At 39.4% G+C, this 19,530-nt stretch overlaps 1 protein-coding gene and 1 pseudogene across 2 annotated transcripts in view; one reads left to right on the plus strand and one right to left on the minus strand.

The window, feature by feature from the left end:
* The window catches only part of PRICKLE2 (prickle planar cell polarity protein 2), a 175,938-nt gene that overhangs the window by 74,578 nt on the left and 81,830 nt on the right, over positions 1-19,530 (minus strand). The window lies entirely within an intron of this gene.
* On the plus strand, positions 7,565-8,534 carry PRDX3P4 (peroxiredoxin 3 pseudogene 4; annotated as a pseudogene).

Below are 19,530 nucleotides of genomic sequence, written 5' to 3' on the forward strand. Positions count from 1 at the left end.
ACTTCCAATCCTCTTCGAAGTCCATTGAAGTCCAGGAGAAAAACGCATCCCTCTAATGTTAGCTTTGTGTCGCCTCCTGGTGTTTAGATGCTGGACTTTCCAAATTTTTCACTGAGCAAAGGGGATTAACGGATGGATGGGAGGGAGGGAGAAACAGCTCTCCTGAATTCTTTGGCTGGATACAGGAATGCTGCCTGCATTTTCCTCTGGCATTCTCCACAGTGAAACTACTGTATGGCCCAAAACAAACATCAAGTGAACCAAGGGTAATGGGAAAATACTGAGTATACTTTCTGGCACTACAAAAATTAAATTTGGCACAATCCCTGAAAATCCTGCAGATTGTTCATTTTAGTCCAAACATGTTTCACTTGTTCATTTTTTTTGGAGTAAATAAGCAAATCCAATAGAATTTTGTCAATGATGATCATTACCAAGCTATTACCCATTATGCTGATAACTGTATTTTTCATTCTGTGTGTATTGAACATATTTATTCAAAAGCACGTCTGTTGAATGTGCTAAAGACTTTGCTCCATTTAGACATTCCCAGATAAAGGTGCCCTGTGATTCCACCCCAGGTGAAATCATACTAGGTAACTTTCCCCTAAACAAAAGCATTTTGAACACAATAAACTGGCTTATGAAAATGAAATAGCCAAAGGCCTTTAAGGTGTAACTCTGCAACAGGAAAGGTTTGGCAGCAACTTCAGTGTGTGTCAGACAGATCGCAAGCACTTTAGTCAGTGCGCATATAAAGTCTACAAAGCAAAGCCTCGCCCAGCTGGAAAGATGAGGCTTGTTGGAAGGAACTGCACGTTTGATAGCATTTCTGCCTGGGCAGAAAGATGGAGGCTGGAGAAGCAATAACTCTGCATTTGGGAGAAAAGTGTATGAAAAGTAAGCTGATTTTTTTTTTATAAAGAAGTGTGCAAAGCACTTTATTTAGAGCACTGGTTCTCAAACTATAGCTTGCATCAGAATCACCTGGAAGGCCTGTTAAAACACAGATTTCTAATTTAGTAGGCCCGGGATGGGGACATTTGCATTTCTGACTCCTCTTCAGGTCCTGCTGTTAGTCCAGGGAACACACTTTGTGAGTTTTAGAGCTTTCTACTGTTTTCCCTCAACAACCAACATTATGCAGTTGCCAGGCAAATGGTAGGATTCCCACTTTCTTCAAGAGATCTAGGAAGCCCAGAAAAGGGAAGAGAACTTGTTGGACCTCACCCAATTTTTCAGGTGTCTCCTTCCACACCTAGATATATGATTCAGCAGGGGATTCTACCAGCTCTGGCAAGAACAAGAAATCCTAAGGGCAAAGTGCTCACATTTTTGGGTGGCAACATTTTCCTTATCAAAAGCATCCTTATTTTCTTAGAGCAGGAACCCACAAAGGAGAAGTTAGACTTTCTTGGCCGATTTCAGAATCAATTGTTCTTCACCATCTAGATGCGGAGGGGGCCCAATATTTTGGCTTCCCTGGGCCACACTGGAAGAAGAAGAATTGTCTTGAGCCACACATAAAATACAGTAACACTAATGATAGCTGATGAGCTTTAAAAAATTGCAAAAAAAAAATCTCATAATGTTTTAAGAAAGTTTGTGCATTTCTGTTGGGCCGCATTCAAAGCCATCCTGGGCTGCATGCAGCCTGTGGACCACGGGTTGGACAAGCCTGATCTGAATGAAGGAAGCGGTCATCGAACTATTGACTTACTGAGTGACCCTACGGCTTGACGCGTTTTTATACACAGTATTTCATAAACCTTCTGCACACTCTGGAGGTGGGTATTTCATACTCATCAGATTGAATATCACATAGTTACAAAGTGAGAGAGCCACCTTTGAGCTTGACTTCCCCATCCTCTCCTTCTGTTCTCCTTTATCAAGAAAAAAAGAGACTGAAGAGACTGGCAGATGGATGGGAAAGAAGGAAGAAAAAACCAAATCATACCCAGATACAGTAGATTCCCAATAGGTCTGCGTGGCTGACCACAGAAACGATGAACACATTTTCCTTTGGTATTACCCAGAACATAACCAACACACAGCTCCCAAATAAAGCCAAAATGAACAGACAGTAAGTGAAAAATCTCCAAATTACAGTCTTTCCACAACACCATGGCATGATGGTAAGAGAGTTGTGGCAGAGTTTTCCCAGCCATATCCATTTTTTTTTTCTTCCTTAACAATACCCTCATTTGACTGAGAGCATCAATATACTCAGCTAAGAATAATATTTCTGCAGCTCCTTAGTAGCTACATGTGGCCTTACACATTCTGGCCAATGACACGGAAGGGTGTGACTTCTGGGAAGCTCTTTTAAAGGAGGCTAGACAGTTGTTAGCCAAGACCTTTTTTTGCCCATTCCCCCTTCTTCCTGCTTCCTGTCTGGAATGTAAACACAATGGCTAGAGCTCCAGCAGCCATCTTGTGTCATGAAGTAACCTTACAAATGGGAATGGAAGCTGTAACCTGAGGATAGTAGGACGGAAAGTTATGAGCCTGGACTTCAAAAAATTTTTAAAATTTTTATACCATGGAGCCACCAGACTAACCCTGGATTGCGTTTCTCTGAACTTCTGAGTGAGAGAAATAAGCTATTTCTTTATTTACAGTCTCTGTTGCTAGGAAGTGAATGCAATTCCTAAATGATACAGCAGTGGTTTTCAAACAGTAGCATACTTTAGAATCATCTGAGGCCTTTATTAAAGATGATGGCCATTTTCATCCCTCTGGGTCTGAAAAGGAGGCCAGAACTATGCACTCTTAACACCTCAGACCACTCCAGGAGAAACACTAGTTTAAGGAAAAGGCAAACACAAACACAAGGTAAAGGCCAACCCTCCTGAAGTGTAATCTCAGACATGAGCTGATACATTTGGAAGGTTTTATAAAATCCAACTTAACCCAGGGACTAATTCGAACACTGATCCTTTATTTCACGTGCCCCCTCACCTGCAGTTTGAGAAGCTTGGAACCTTGTTTAATCTACCTCAATTCGGGGAGGTAATATCTAAAATGCACCTGAGCATCTCAGAAGGCAGGTTGTACAGAGAAGGGAAAGATGCTGCCTGAATTTGCTGCACGTGGTGGTCTTTAAAAAAGTACACAGTGGTTCCCAAATGGGGACCTGGAGGACCATCAGGTAGCATTACAGCTGTGAGTAAATAGGGATGGGCTGCTCATGAGGGCCCCTGTGTTCATTTTGCCCCTATTTGCCAGAATTTCATTACCCAAGCAATAGGAGAAAAGTGCCGTTAAGTGGCATTTAAGAGGTGAAATTGTACCAAGTTTGGCTCCTTCCCTTTTCTCCTGGAGACCCACATTATAATTTTAATTGGTTTACTCAGGAAGCAATTTAGGAAACAACAGTCTAATGCCTAATGCCTAAACAATGTCTCCATCATGTTGAACTCCCCTAGGATTAGGATCAAAATCAGAAATAAAAGCTCATTTGCAGTATTTTCAAAGAAGACTCTTTCAAAGACTCCTTTCTTTTGTTCACACTTGATGTCTAATTCAACAGTGATTCTTGTTGGATGTCGGTTCAAAACATATCCAGAATCCAGTCATTTTCCACCACCCCTGCAGGACCAGTCTAGCTATGACTAAGTGCTCGCCTGAGCTATTGCTGTGGCTACTTCTGGACCCGGCTTTCACCTTTGTGCCTCTGCAGTCGAGTCTCTATTCAGCAGCAATAACAACTCCATTGGAATATAAACCAGGGTGTGTCACTGCTCTGCTCAAAACCCTGGATGGTCTGGGTGCAGTAGCTCATACCTGCAATCCCAGCACTTTGGGAGGCTAAGGGAGGATGATTGCTTGAGCCCAGGAGTTCGAGACTGGCCTGGGAAACAAAGGTAGACCATGCCTCTAGAAACATTAAAAAAAAAAAAAAAAAAAAAACAGCCTGGCTGTGGTGGTGCACACCTGTGGTCTCAGCTACTCTGGAGGCTGAGCTGGGAGGATCACTTGAGTCTGGGAGGTTGAGGCTGCAGTGAGTGGCGAATGCGCCACTGCCCTCCAGCCTGGGTGACAGAGTGAGATTCTATCTCAAAAAAACAAAACAAAACAATACAAAACAAAAAAACTCAAAACCCCCAAAACAACAACCCTGGATTATCTCCCATGCCTCTATAATGCAAAGCCAAAGTCTTCACTATAGCACCATGACCTCCCCACTCCTTACAACCTGGCTGACTCTGTCTCTTACCATATTCCTTTTGTTCAGGTCTTGTGCTCACAATGACCTCCTTGCTGTTCCTTTCACCTCATGGCCTTTACACCAGCCATTCCCTCGGCCTGAAAGGTTATTCCCCCAGATATTTACATGGTGTCATCCTCCTTTCTTCCAGTCTTTGCTCAAGGGCCACCTTGGCTGCCTTCCTTGACTATCCTAATAAATTAGCACCTCTATCCCTTATCTTCCAACCCAGTACTTCTCAAATGGGGGCAATAATACCCCCCAAGAGATATTTGACAATGTCTACAAACATTTTTTGTTATTGCAACTTGGGGAGGGAGCTGCTTTGGCACATATAGTGGGTAGAGGCCAGGGACGCTGCCAAACTTCCTACAATACATGGGTCAGCCCCAACAGCAAAAGATCCCCATCAAAATGCCAACAGTGCTGAAACTGATAAACTCTTCATCTGCTTTTTGTCAAAGAACTTATCAGTTGTTGACAAATGATCTATTTGTTTGTTGACTTTCTCTTCCCTCTAGAATGTGAGTACTTAGGACTGTGTTTGCTGTATACCCCCAGAAGAGGGTCTGGCATGTACAAGATACTCAATAAGTGTTTGTTGAATGGATGCATGCTGTATTCAAATCTTACCTTTCTAGCTGTCTGGGTTATTAGAGGATCTAGACAGACACATACAGCAAGAGAATAAACAAGCGAGATTTCAAGAGGAAACAGAGTAAAACTCATTAAGCTTCTCTTTCATTCCATCAAAGCATTTGCTTTTTTCACCAAAGATTAGTGCTGTGGGGTGGGTGGAGATGCTAAGTAAAGGATGCATGGAATAACTGTCAATATACTGTTTATTTCAGAGGAAGTGACAAAAGCGACACCCATTTGTATTTGAAGCCAGAGAATTTCTTTCAAGTTGAGTTAACTTCGTTTGAACAAACTAAGGAAAATAATTATGTTATGCCCTAAGCCGGTACCATAATTCAGAATCACATGAGTTGCTTTGCTCCTATGCCTGTTAGTTCTCACATGACCACTCTTTCCAACCCTGTTTATTATTTTATTTAGAATATTAAACTTCAATGTTTTGTTAGAAAATACATTCCATTTAGTTTGGAGCATTATCTGACATTTATTTTATCTTGTGTTAAAGAAAAGGTTGCAGAAATGGAAGAACTTGGGGTTTGAACATTTTCTACTTAAGCTACACTTAAATAGACTCCCTCATCCCAATTTTATCAAAACACCCTTTGCAGATTGTCTACGCATTTGCGTATATGCCCTATTAAAAATTCCCCAACAGTTGCTAACTTCATTTGACAACAGTTTCAATACTGCCTTTAGATAAAATACACACATACATAAGTATGAAAAAAGAAGGATGGCAGTTTCTTATAGGGGTAACTTGTTTGGACTCTGCAGTCAGATTGTTTGGGTTCCAATAATGGATGTAACACTTACCATCTGCATGTAGTTGGGCAAGTTATTTGATCTCTTGTAGAAAGTTAATATCTCCATCTGTAAATTGGGGACAATAATATCTACCTTGAAGCATTAATAAGAGGCTCAAATGATATCGTGTAACTAACAAAGAGAGAGGCACAGGCTGAAGGCTCTATATTTCTTGGCTTTGAAGCAGTCTAATGCATAATTCATAAATGTCTATGTTATAAACAGAATTGTGTACCCCCTGTGATTCACATATCAAATCCCTAACCCCTATGTGTGACTATATTTATAGATAGGGCCTTTAAGGAGGTAATTAAGATTAAATGAGGTCATAAGGCTGGGGCCCTATTCAATAAGACTGGTGTCCTTGTAAGAAGAGGAAGAGATAACCAGGAGCATGCACAGAGAAAAGGCCATCTGCAAGCCAGGAAGAAAAGCCTCACCAGAAATCAACCCTGCTGACATCTTGATCTTGAGCTTTTGGACTCCAGAACTGTGAGAAAATAAATTTCTGTTGTTTAAGCCACCCAGTCTGTGCTATTCTGTTATCTGTGATACGCAAGTGTAAGGAACTGTTGAGTGCTTGTGGGGAAAGAACACACACATGAATGGGAAACCACCCCTAGGTGGAAAGAGGTTATATTTGGCAGAGGGTATAAGACAAGTAGACAAATGACTACAATACAAAGTTAAAATAATGCAAAAGCCATAATAGGTAGACAAAAACACTACAAAGATTCAATAAAAAATAAGTTAGGTACTGATTTGTAGCATTTGCCAATTTCCATAGGGTATGTGATCCCACTATGAATCCCACATTCAAGCTACCAATGTGATGTCATCGGATGTGGAACTGGGAAGAGCTATACATAGCATACCATCACACAGTACTCCCACTATACAGATATAATAGGCAAAACAGTCTCAAGAACATAGATAACAGTGGAATAGGATAAATTAAATAGGAAGTGATGAATTTCAAGTATTTATCATCTTTAAAAAATATAATTTATTTAATTATAAGTTTATATAATTAAATTTTCATAATGGCTGTATTTAACAATGGATTTACAAAATTCCTGAAAACTGACCAATTGGCTCTTGCAAGGCAGTATGAGGCCGGCTCTAGCATTCTGTCAGAAGCTTAAATGGCCAGTATCCTTGGCAAATTCTCTTTTAAAAAGTAAAAAGAGCAGTAGAAGAGCTGTAAATGAGATTAAACAGCTAAAGAGCACTTTGAAGAGTACGATGACAACTGATCTGTTGCCCAACTCTGTCTTCAACGGTCCCAGCAAATCACACATTAAGCCAAGTTGTCTATCTCAGCTGACACATACTTCAGAATAGTCACAGCTCTTCTGTCTCCCAGCCTTTTCCGAATCTCCAGAATTTTGCCCTTTCTCTAAACCACGCTTTTCTTTTCTCCCTCCTGTCTCCTTTCTAAACTCCCAGGAATAATAAGAACTGATGAACACTCACAATTATTTATGTATTGGCAGGTGTTTTGTTTTCTCAAAGTAAAGAGGATGTGAGTTAAACATAGTGTAGTTCCCCATGAAGAAGAAAAACAACAACAAAACCCCCTCCCAAACCTTAATAAAACTCCTTTTTTATGCTAGTACGTTGTTATCAAACTGTGTTCTAGTAGGTCAGTGATTCTTAATAGAGAAAAAAAAGATTCTCCACTTTGGGAATAGCTACTCCAGTATCAACTGAGTTAATATTTACCTACAGTATAGGAGAAAGAAACTGCATTTGATGTTGAATGTTTGAGTCCTAACCATGACAAATTCTAAGCGTGCAATATTTGGCCAAGTTAACTACCTACTCTGGGCTTCATTGTCCTTATCTCTAGGACTAGAATACTTGTATTCATCTCATACAGTTATTGTGAGGATTTAAAGTGATGAAAAGGTGGCTCCTGCAAGGCACTGAAGATGGCAGCCGCTGTGGGAAGGTTGTCCCTAGCTTCGGTTGACCGACATGTGCACACCATCCTGTCTCTGCAGTCCTTAGGCCTGTGGCTTCTGGGGAAAACATGCTTGACAAACATATTGTGGTCTGATTCTGGTCGAGCAGAATTCGCCTTTGGCACAATTTCCTCATACCATGCACTTGCTGTCACCCTATTTTAAAGGTACAGCCTTTGTCAATGCAGAGTTCAAAGATCTAAGCCTTGATGATAATGAGGGGAAATGTTTGGTGCTTTTCTCCTATCCTTTGGATTTCACCTTTGTGTGTCGACAACAATTTCTTGCTGTTAGTGATAAAGAATGAATTTTACAATGTGAACTGTGAAGTTGTTGCAGTCTTAGTGGATTCCCACTTTAGCCATCTTGCTTGGATAAATATACCAAGAAAGAATGGTGATTTGGGCCACATGAACATCACACTTTTCTCAGATTTAATTAAACACATTTCCTGAGACTATGGTGTGCTGTTAGAAGGTCCTGGTTTGCACTAAGAGGAGTCTTCATAATTGACCCCATGAATTTATCAAGCATTTGAGTGTCAGTGACCTCCCAGTGGGCTAAAACGTGGAAGACACCCTCTGCTTGGTAAAGGCATTCCAGTTTGTAAAAAAAACCCATGGAGAAGTCTGCCCAGCAAACTGGACACTAGAGTCTCCTACAATCAAGTCAAATCAAACTGTTTCCAAAGAATACTTTGAGAAGGTAAATCAGTGGATCACCCCATGTGTATCTGCACCTTCTCATCACAGAGAGGAACCCCAGTTGAAACCTGCTTTTAGCATTTCAAAGATGATTATTTTTGTAGAAGGCAAGGAACCTATTATGCTTGTATTCATGAACACTACTCTATATGTTTTGTTTTTGTAATACTGGCTAAGGTTTTTTTAAACATGGTTAGTTGCTAGTGTAAGGAGTCTTTAGTGGAAATATCTTGATGGCTAGCTAGTTAGTTTCTACAGAACACTAGTTCACCTACTTCTTAGATCGTGTCTTCAGTGGAAACACTCTTCTTTCTTGGCCTTATTTGAATATTTGTCTACACCAAAGTAGTACAACAAGCATTGCAAGCTTCTGATCAAGGGTCCCGAAATTTTCTTCTTGAATTTCTTCATATGAAACTGAATTGTTTTAAGTTAACAAAGATCAAAGCTTTAAGTTCCCTTAGATTTATAGTTTAGTCATTTTGTTCATTACATCTACATGCATTTCTAGATATTGACTGGTATAATTGATTATACAGGATATTTATTGAATCCAGGTATTGCATTTTGAAATTATTACAATTATTTTCTTTGCTGGTGTTCAATATAAAATGTAATAAAAATAAACATATTTTAAAATAAAGTGACAAAAGAATGAAAATACACTGTGAACTATAAGGCTGTACATAATTGTCAGATTAGTTTTATTATTATTAAAAATAACAACAAAACTAGAAATTATAATTGCTTTGGGCTGCTAGTAATCATGACCCGAGAATAGTGGCCTAGGACTGGTTTGGCATTTTATAAAAACCATGAAGCACCTAGGCTCTTCCTGTCTTTCTGTACCCATCATCCATGTGTTAGTGACATCTATGCTCAAAACTGCAAAATGGCTACTGGAGTCTCAACCATCACATTCACGTTCGAGGTAAGAAGGTGGGTAAGGGTAAGAGGCAGATGGATCAACAACATTTAAAGAGTTTTACTAGAAGTACTAACCTCCTATTTATAATTCCTTGAATAGGACTAGCTGCAAGGGAAGCTAGGAAACAGGGTCCTTAGTAGGGCATACTGCTGCCCAGAATACAATCAGGTTCCGTTATTAGGAAAGGAGGAGATGCTAAAACTGGGTGACACCTAGCAATCTGTCTCCAAAGAATATCTGAATTTTGAGTTATCTCTTTCTTATGTGGAGTCCTTAGGAGTGTCCTACATGGTATCTTTTCTGTGCATTTTAAATCATTGTTTTTGATTCTGCACTTCACATATGACATAATTAGTCCATTACCCTCCTCTATTACTATTAGTTTCACAGGGTTATGCAAAGCCAGTTTGAATAAAGTTTAGAAAGCAAAGACAGAAGGAAATTCTAGGACCAATTCAAGTTTTCAAGTGTCCAAAGTGATTCATAATGACACATGCTATAATCCAAAGAAAGAATTCTTTTTGCAAGAGACTGGAGCTTACTGATCACAGGACATTGTTGGAAACACATTTTAGAATACAGGTAACCTTTGTTTCAAGTCAGTTCATTTAAGGCAGTTTCATTTCTGCACATTAAATACATGATTGAGAAGTGACCAGAAAATATGAAAATGAAGGAACTCACTTATACATTACAAAGGATGTATTTCTGACTACCACGGCTACTTTCAGCCTGAGTAACTTGCCTTGCCCACTAAGTTTCAAATGAATCATAAAAACAATTGTGAGAATTCAGTCTTTCCAGTTCCAAAACGCCAAAAGATCAGTGAAGGTAATATCTTGGCCTGCGGGTTATAGTTTGCGTATAGCCATAAAACCCTAAAGGGCCTATATTATGCCACTTTAGAGAAACAGACAGGAAAGAAGGTTTGGTTTGGATGAGCTAGAGTATGACACAATATCTCAAACACCACCAAAATATCACTAGTTTTGTACTGCAGTGTTTTTTAATTAAAATTTTTTATTGTGGTATACACATTACAAGATTTGCCATTTTAACCTTTTTTTTTTTTTTTTTTTTTTTTTTTGAGACAGAGTTTCACTCTTGTTGCCCAGGCTGGAATGCAATGGCGTGATCTCGGCTCACTGCAACCTCCGTCTCCCGGGTTCAAGTGATTCTCCTGCCTCAGCCTCCCGAGTAGCTGGGATTACAGGCACTCACCACCACACCCGGCTAGTTTTTTGTATTTTTAATAGAGACAGGGTCTCACCATGTTGGCCAGGCTGGTCTCGAACTCCTGACCTCGATCCACTTGCCTCAGCCTCCCAAAGTGCTGGGATTATAGACGTGAGCCACCATGCCTGGCCTCATTTTAACCATTTTTAAGTGTACAATTCAGTGGCACTGGGTACATTCACAATATCATGCAATCATCACCACTATCTCGTCACAAAACTTTTTCATCATGTTAAACAGAAACTCTACACCAAATAAATAATAATTCCCCATTTCTCCTCCCCTCAGCCCCTGGTAACCTCTAATTTACTGTCTGTCTCTATGAGTCTGCCTAGTCTAGATACTTCATATAAGTGGAATCATGCAATATTCGTCCTTTGTGTCTGCTTATTTCACCTAATATGTTTCCAAGGCTAATTTCTGTTGTAGCATGTGTCAGGACTTTGCTTGTGGCTATTATTTCACTGCATGTATATACCACATTTTGTTTATCCATTTTTATCTGTTGACGGAATTTGGGTTGTTTTTACCTTTTCACTACTGTGGATAATGCTTCAGTGAATGTTGGCGTACAATTATGTTTGAATCTCTGCTTTCAATTATGTTGCATATATACCTAGGAGTGGAATTACTGGATGATATGGTAATTCTGTTTAGCTTTTAGAGAAACTGCCAAACAGTGCTCCAAAGTGGCTGCACCATTTTACATTGTCACCAGCAATGCACAGAAATTCCAGTTTCTCCACATCCTTACCAACATTTATTTTCCAGTTTTTAAAATTATAACCATCTTAGTAGGTCTGAAGCAGTATCTCATTGTGGTTTTGATTTGCATTATATTAATGACTAATGATGTTGGACATCTTTTCATGTGCTTATCAGCCGACCGTATATTGTCTTTGGAGAGATGTTGATTGAAGTCCTTCAGTCATCTTTTAACTGAGTTGTCTTCTTGTTGAACCGTATATATTCTGTATCTTAAACCCTTATCTATACCATGATTTTATTTCTGTCTCACACTGTATCCTCCTATAGGTAGGCAGAGACCCAGGTGATGGGGGCTCCATATGGAGATATGCCTCCATGAGGATGGCAGCAGAGAAAAGGATGGTTGGAGCTGAACACTGGCAGTGAAAAGCTTTTTTCCTGGATATGATACATGTGACTTCTGTTCAGGTTTCATTGGTGAAAGCAAGTCTCATGGACATGCCTAACTTTAAACGGACTGAGAAAGTACATTCCCCCTTTGTGCCTGGAAGAAGAAGGAACCAACCATTTGTAAATAGCCATAATCCCTGCCACAGCAGGGAAAGAAGAGAGTACTATGTAAACAGGATATTACATTTTGCAAAGGTAAACACAAGTGATTCTCTTTATTCATGGCAGTTATGTGCTATAAAATCACAGCAAACACTGAATTTCTGAATACTAAACATTCCTCCTAGGAGAAATATGGGGTTAGGTTCCTGTGAGCCTCTGGTCCCAACATTTTCGTTAACCCATTAATCCATAACCTTGTTTCATGTGTGTTTCTTTTTAAGGGCAACTTACTTAATATGTATTGTTGATTCATTAACATTTAACTTATGGCCAACAGCACTATAACTCATGCCCAACAGCACTATAACTCATGCCTGACTGAAGATTATCTAACATACATATTTTCTTTCTTTCTTTCTTTCTTTCTTTCTTTCTTTCTTTCTTTCTTTCTTTCTTTCTTTCTTTCTTTCTTTCTTTTCTTTCCTTCTTTCTTTCTTCTTTTTCTTTTCTCTCTCTCTCTGTCTCTTTCTTTCAGACTGAGTTTCGCTCTTGTCATCCAGGCTGGAATGCAATGGCACGATCTCGGCTCACCACAACCTCCACCTCCTGGGTTCAAGTGATTCTCCTGCCTCAGCCTCCAGAGTAGCTGGGATTATAGGCATGTACCACCATGCCTGGCTAATTTCGTATTTTTAGTAGAGATGGGGTTTCTCCATGTTGGTCAGGCTGGACTCGAACTCACTACCTCAGGTGATCCGCCTGCCTCAGCCTCCCAAAGTTCTGGGATTACAAGTGTGAGCCACCGTGCCTGGCCTAACATACGTATTTTCTCCATAAAGCACATCACAGCCTTCTTGCTTTTAGAAACACTAGATGGCACTTCACTATGCTTGGGGCTATTTTAAACAGTGAAATCACCAACAAAAAGCATAGGATGCAAAAAAGTGGCCCTAAATAGACCACTTGTTTATTCAGTCTGTGAGCTGGAATAAGAAAGCATAGAATTAGCTGTTCTACCTCAGCTGGCCATGTATGCATTAGGCAATTCAAATTTTTTATCCCTCAGTGTATGCCTGTTAATGACCACGAGAGTGCTGCAAATATTGATTTTCAGGGTACAAGTAAAGTCTGCAAATGACCATGAAAGTGCTGCCGCAAGTATTGATTTTGGGGTTACAAATAAATTTTGGCAAGTGGGCACATTTGCAAATACAGAATCATGAAAAATGGGGATCAACAAAATTATAAACCATTTGATCACCAAGGAGTAAAGGGCTGAGCCAGGATTTAAATTTAGGTCTGACTTCAAAGCTCATTCTCTATCCATTCCACCCCACTGTCTCCCAAAACTAGTCAAAGGATTACACTCTGTCCTATGTATTTGATGAATCAATGAGCAGTGTAGTCACAGTTCATTCTTCAAGCTTGCAATTCCTGCTAAAACCTTAAATACTAAACAGGCCAGAGTGGCTGCTTAATCATGAAAGCCACATGGATCAGTTTGAACTCCAAAGAAGGTAGAAATCAACTGCATTATTGAGTAATGTGCATACTTTGAATGTTATGTGCGTATGTTATATAATGAGGATTATGGGAACTAACTCAGGCTTGGTGAATTTGTTTCCCCTTTGGTCTGTGCAAGAGAAGTTAATGTGCCCAGGTTCATCCTCAACAAAGACCATGTGGTCCTTGAAGGGACTGCTCCAATTCCTGAGAGTTATCTATGTATGTATGTGTTTATTTATTTTGCGGTAAAATATACAGAATATAAAATTTAGCATTTTTACCACTTTTCAGCAGCATTAAATACATTCACATAGTTGTGCAACTGCTACCACGATCCTTCTCCAGAACTTCTTTTATCTTCCCATACTGAAACTCTGTACTCATTAACCACTCACTTCCCATTCTCCTCCCCTTCAGCCCTTGGAAGCCACCATTTTCCTTTCAGTATCTACAAATTTGACAATTTGAGAATGATTTTTTTTTTTAATAAAGTCTCACTCTGTCACCTAGGCTGGAGTGCAGTAGCACTATCTCTGCTCACTGCAACCTCCACCTCCTGGGTCCAAGCAATTCTCCTGCCTCAGCCTCCTGAGTAGCTGGGATTACAGGCATGTGCCACCACATCCGGCTAATTTTTGTGTTTTTAGTAGAGACGGGGTTTCACCATGTTGGCCAGGCTGGTCTCAAACTCCTGACCTCACGTGATCCACCCATCTTGGCCTCCCAAGGTACCAGGATTACAGGTGTGAGCCACCGCCCAGCTGAGAGTGATTTTTATTACGTGTTGGGAACAAATGTTTTTCTGTGGTAAATTCTCTGAAATTATGGTGAAAATCAATGGGGAGAAAATGAGTCAGACAGTGTGTCTACACTTACATTTAAGTCCTTTCATAAGCAACTTTCCTTCTGTTTTTAATAAGACAATCAAGGATCACAGGGAAGATGCTGGCCCCAGCAATCAGAATCTATAACAAATGAAATGATCTGGCAACTCATTCGTGTGTAGCATTTTCATTGAGAAGACCTAGGAAATAAATCACCACTGATAATTGGGCAAGTTATAGCTTCTGAATTATTAGTCTCAGGCCATTCACTTTGTTATATTTTACAGATTATAGAATTCCGTTTATACAGTACCTCTTCCTGGCTCACGACAGAGTCTTCTGATTGCTCTAGGAGTGGCATGAGAAGCAACAAAAGGTGTTAGCCAACAATTGTGAGAGACAAGCACTCAGCATCAATGAGGCTCAGACCCAAAAAAGCAGTTCTGGCAGGCATCCTTCCGCATCCTGACAGTCCCAACATCCAGACTAAAACAACGCTCATCCTCTTGCTATCACAGTCTTCATCCAAAACTGGAGATACTGTTAGGTGGTTAGCCAACAACATTGCCTTACTCTACTAGTGCCCTTTAGTTTTGGTTATCTATTATAATTATGTCCTTTCTCTTTGTTGCCTATAGCATGCTTTCCCCTTGTTTTAGTTATTCTACTGACAGCTCTTCCAGATCCTTTCGGAAACTAGGCAGAAAATGGATTGAAAAGAAAAAAAAACAATCTTAACTTTTCTACCACATGTTTAGGAAGTAACCTTTGAAAATGGGAGTTTCAGAATCCGTTGTTAATGTGTTAAGTGAAGGGAGCAAAGATGTGTGAAAAATAACAGACATAAAATGATCTTAAAATTCTTAGTATTCATATGATTTTGTTTTAAAGAGAAACTACCCAAAATTATATCTTACTTTGGCTTGAGTGAATATGAACCCAAGGTCTGGTGAATTGATTCAGAAGTATATTGAGATGCAGGCTACTCAAGGCGGGAAGAAAAATCTTTCATGGGTAATCTAAGATGTGGCATTAAAACGTGTGTCACAGAAGATCACTATTAAGAAGGAAGACAAAAATGCTGAATAACTGGAGCTTTGTTAAAAGTGATAGAGGGAGGAAAGCACAGCAAGTGCAAAGGCATGAGGTGGGAGGAAGCTTGGAGTTCTTGAAGAGTGGCCCTATGGTCTGAATTTGTACCCCCAAATTCATGTGTTGGAAACTTATTCCCCAATGCAACAGTGTTGGGAGATGGGACCTTTTGGAAGTTGCTTGGAATAGATTAATGCTGACATAAAGAGGGCTTGTGGCCAGGCGTGGTTGTGGTCACTCACACCTGTAATCTCAGCACTCTGGGAGGACAAGGTGGAAGATCCTTTGAGTCCGGGTGTTAGAGACCAGCCTGGGCAACAAGGTGAAACCCTGTCTCTACAAAAAATACAAAAAGTAGCTGGGAGTGGTTGTGCGCATCTACAGTCCCAGTTACCTGGGAGGCTGAGGTGGGAGGATGGAGGATCATCTGAGTGCAGGGAGGTTGAAGCTGCAGTGACCTATAATTGCACCACTGCACTCTGGCCTAGGTGACAGAATGAAACCTTGTCTCAGAAAGAAAAAAAAAAAAAAGGACTTGCTGGAGTGGGTTCATCTCTTCTGTTCTTCTGCCATGTGGGGACACATTCCCTCTTTTGCCCTTTGGCCTTTCACCACCTGAGGATGCAGCAAGAAAGCCCTCACCAGATGCTGGTGCCTTGATCCTGAACATTTCAGCCTCTGGAATTGTGAGAGAATAAATTTCTGGTCTTTATAAATTACACTGTCTCAGGTATTCTGTTATAGCAGCACAAAACAGACTAAGACAAGTGGCTAACAGACTAAGACAAGGATCCAGTGTGGCTGGATGTTAAGAAATGGCGAATAACCACTCTAAGAATATAAATATATTCTGTATCTTTCCACCAAGCAAAGGAAAATGAAGAAAACTGGGAAGGCTTCATTAAAAAAAATAGAACACAAGAAAACAGAAAAAAGCAGAGGAAAAAAGATAGCAAATAGAAAATAAAGTGGTAGGAATGATTATATAAGTTATTATAATAAATTTAAATGTATTATACCCATCAATTAAAAGATGGATTATCAGTTTGGAATAATAGGAATGCAATATCTATCATGTGCTGCTTGCAGAGTCCCACTTAAAACCATAAGAAAAGGCTTAAAATAAAAGAATGGAAAAGCATAGTCTTGCAATTACTCACCAAAAGAAAGCTAGTATGCAATGTTAGTATTATAGAAACCAGAATTTGAACAAATACAATTAGGCAAGATATAAAGGGATGTTACAATTAATAGATCCTTGGTCATTTCAAAATTATTAGTGATACAATTTATTGACCCGTTTTATAATGGCCACCAGTTCACTACTTCTATTCCTGAAAAATATTATGTAGCTGTTCATAAAATTTTAAAAGTTATTTTATGTTCAAATAAACAAAATAACACATATATTTATAAGGAATGTTACAAAAGAATAATCTATCAAAACTATAGTATAACCATAGGTTATATTATATATTATATACTATAACTTGTGGGCACCTAAAAACATAGCCTCAAATGCATAAAGCAAAAACAGAAATCTAAGGAAAAACAAATCTATAATTACAGAGAAAGATTTTAAGTTGCCTTCATTCGGCATTGATAGACCAAAAAGGCAAAAATTATGAAAGCTATAGAGTATATCACAGCAATAGTAATTACTGTTCATGAACTCTATCATCATCTTTCTTCTAACAATTTGGAAACATTGCCATGTTTATTTTTACTTTATAATGGAAAGAAAATATTTCACATCTTTACAATCCAAATGGGAAATAGAAGCTAGAAGATGCAAAGAAACTTGGTCAAGGCCACTTGATCACTGCCTGAAAACAAACTTTTCTGATCCATGACTTTTTCTGCACTTGAATGCTCTCTTTTCTGTGTATCTTCCCAGTCTACATTCCCTGGGTATTTACCCTGATGTCGTAGGGGAAGAGTGGTATATTAACTGCTCCCTAAGCACTGGCCCTATGCGACAATGAGCAAGTCATGTACGTTCTCTGAGACTGTTTTCTTAAATATTAAATCCAAGGTTTGGGCTTAAGAATTTCTGTTCTGTCTTGTTTTGCTTATATCTTAGAATGCTTTAATTCTTGCCCCCAACATCTATGGACAAGAACTTCAGACTTAGATCTCAGTCTTGTTTCCCCAGATAGGCCTTACCAAGAAAAGTGTTTTCAAAACAATTGGCCATTCTAGTCTGGAAAGATATACATTTCTTGAAATGCCAGGTACTGATTAAGTGCTCTATAAGGCAGGAAACATTACTGTCTTCATTTTATAGATGAGAAAGAATGACCTCAACAAGGTAAAACAACTTGCTCCAATCATAAATATAGCTGGACAGTGGCAGAACTGGATCAGGTCCCAGCTGCGTCTGATACCACAGCCATGGCTCTTAATTACTGTGCTTGAGAAAGACCACAGAAAATGGTCCCACTGATCATATTTCAGCAGAGCTGTTTCTTTTAGTTATGTTTAGTTATTTTAATTTTATTTTTTTTAAGACACAGGGCCTTGCTCTGTCACCCAGCTGTAATGCAATGGTGCTATTATAGCTCACTGCAGCCTTGAACTCCTGAGCTCAAGCAATCTGCCAGCTTCAGCCTCCTGAATGGCTGGGGCTACAGGCCCACACCAATGACTGACTGATTTAAAAAAAAAAATTTGAGATGGAATCTCGCTATGCTGCCCAGGCTGGTTTCAAACTCCTAGACTCAAGCCATCATTCAAGCGATCCTCCTGTCTCAGGCTCCAAGTAGCTTGGATTACAGGTATGAGTCACTGTTCCAGGCCAGAAGAGCTGTTTCTCATGGCATATTCACCATCCAGATGAATTCTTGACTATCCACACAGCAATGGGGCACAAAAGAAGATGGATGTTTCACAACTATGTTCAAGCCCAACCTCAAATTTATCCATGTCATTTGACCTTCTCTCTCAACACACGTAGAATTGCCAAGTGGTTGGCAAACTTAGTTGGTTGGCACTGCAGCTTTTTTCCCTGGTTGCCTCTCTAAGGCTATGATTCTTGCAATAACTTACATAATGATGGAAGAGAAAGGAGACTATAATACAAGCCCAAATGTTAGGGCCTACATGTTAGATATTGTCCTTGGGAACATACAGAGATTAAGTGTTCACAATTTTGATCATCAACCCTGAGGAAATTATTACCTTCTCACCAAACACTGGATCCAGTGAGGATGGAGACACCACCTCTTTTTTCCTAACACCCTTTGGCAAGAGTCAGAAAGGTTTCTCAGGACCCCAGGATTGTAGGGAAGTTAATGTTTACAGACCCCCCCTAGATTGCTGCTAGAATTTTTGGTATCTTTCAGTAAGTTAGGAAAAGACAGCCTCCCAACTAAGAATTAGAAAAAGTCAGTCCCCAAGCTAGATTATCTGATAAAAGTAATGGCAAAAACAGCAATTACTTTTGTACCACTCTAATAATTGCCATAGCAATAACAACTACCACCACTGTTTACTGAGTGCCAACTACGTGTTAGGCACTGTCCTTGGGAGCTTAGAGATTATGAAATGAGCCAGTCTGTGGAACTCATTTTCTTGTGCCATCCATCTGGATGTTGATGAGTTTCTACCCCAAATCTCCTTTTCATTGTGCATGATTAATACTGAGCAGTTCTTTCTGACAAAAGCTTGGCAAAAGACTTAGCTACTCCCTGAGGCAATTGATGAAACCTTAGGAAGCCTCCACCATTGGCATGGGAGGAAGCTTGCCTTCCTGTTTGCTAAAGAGTAACTTCATTCATTCATTTATTCCATCACTTTATCGAGGTATCAACATATAATAAATCACATGCAAGTATACAATTTGGTAAGTTCCAACATATGTATGTACCCATGAAAGCATCAACATAATCAAGATAGCAAATGTACCTATCACCCCCAGAACTCTTGTCAATCCTTTTGTCGTTCCTCCCTCTCATTTCCCCATCCCCAAGTAACCATTGATCTGCTTTCTGTCACTACAGATTAGTTTGCATTTTCTAGAGTTTTATATAAATGAAATCACATAGTGTGTACTATTTTGCCTGGCTTCTTTCATTTGGAATAATGATTCTCAGACTCTGATTCACTTTGCATAGATCAACAGTTCATTCACTTTTATTGTGAAGTAGTAGTATACTATATAGATATAATACAATATGTTTATCCATGTACCTGTGGATAGACTTTTGAGTTATTTCCAATTTTTGACTATGGAAAAGAAAACTAAGAGCAGCCACTTTAAAAACCCCAAATGTTTAAAACATTGTTTCATTTAATTTTCACAACTATGCTGTAGTTAAGTACTGACATCCTTGTTTTTCAGAAGATGAGATGAAAGTTT

This window comes from Homo sapiens, chromosome 3 (assembly GCF_000001405.40).
Source record: "Homo sapiens chromosome 3, GRCh38.p14 Primary Assembly".
In the NCBI taxonomy this organism is placed as follows: Eukaryota; Metazoa; Chordata; class Mammalia; order Primates; family Hominidae; genus Homo; species Homo sapiens.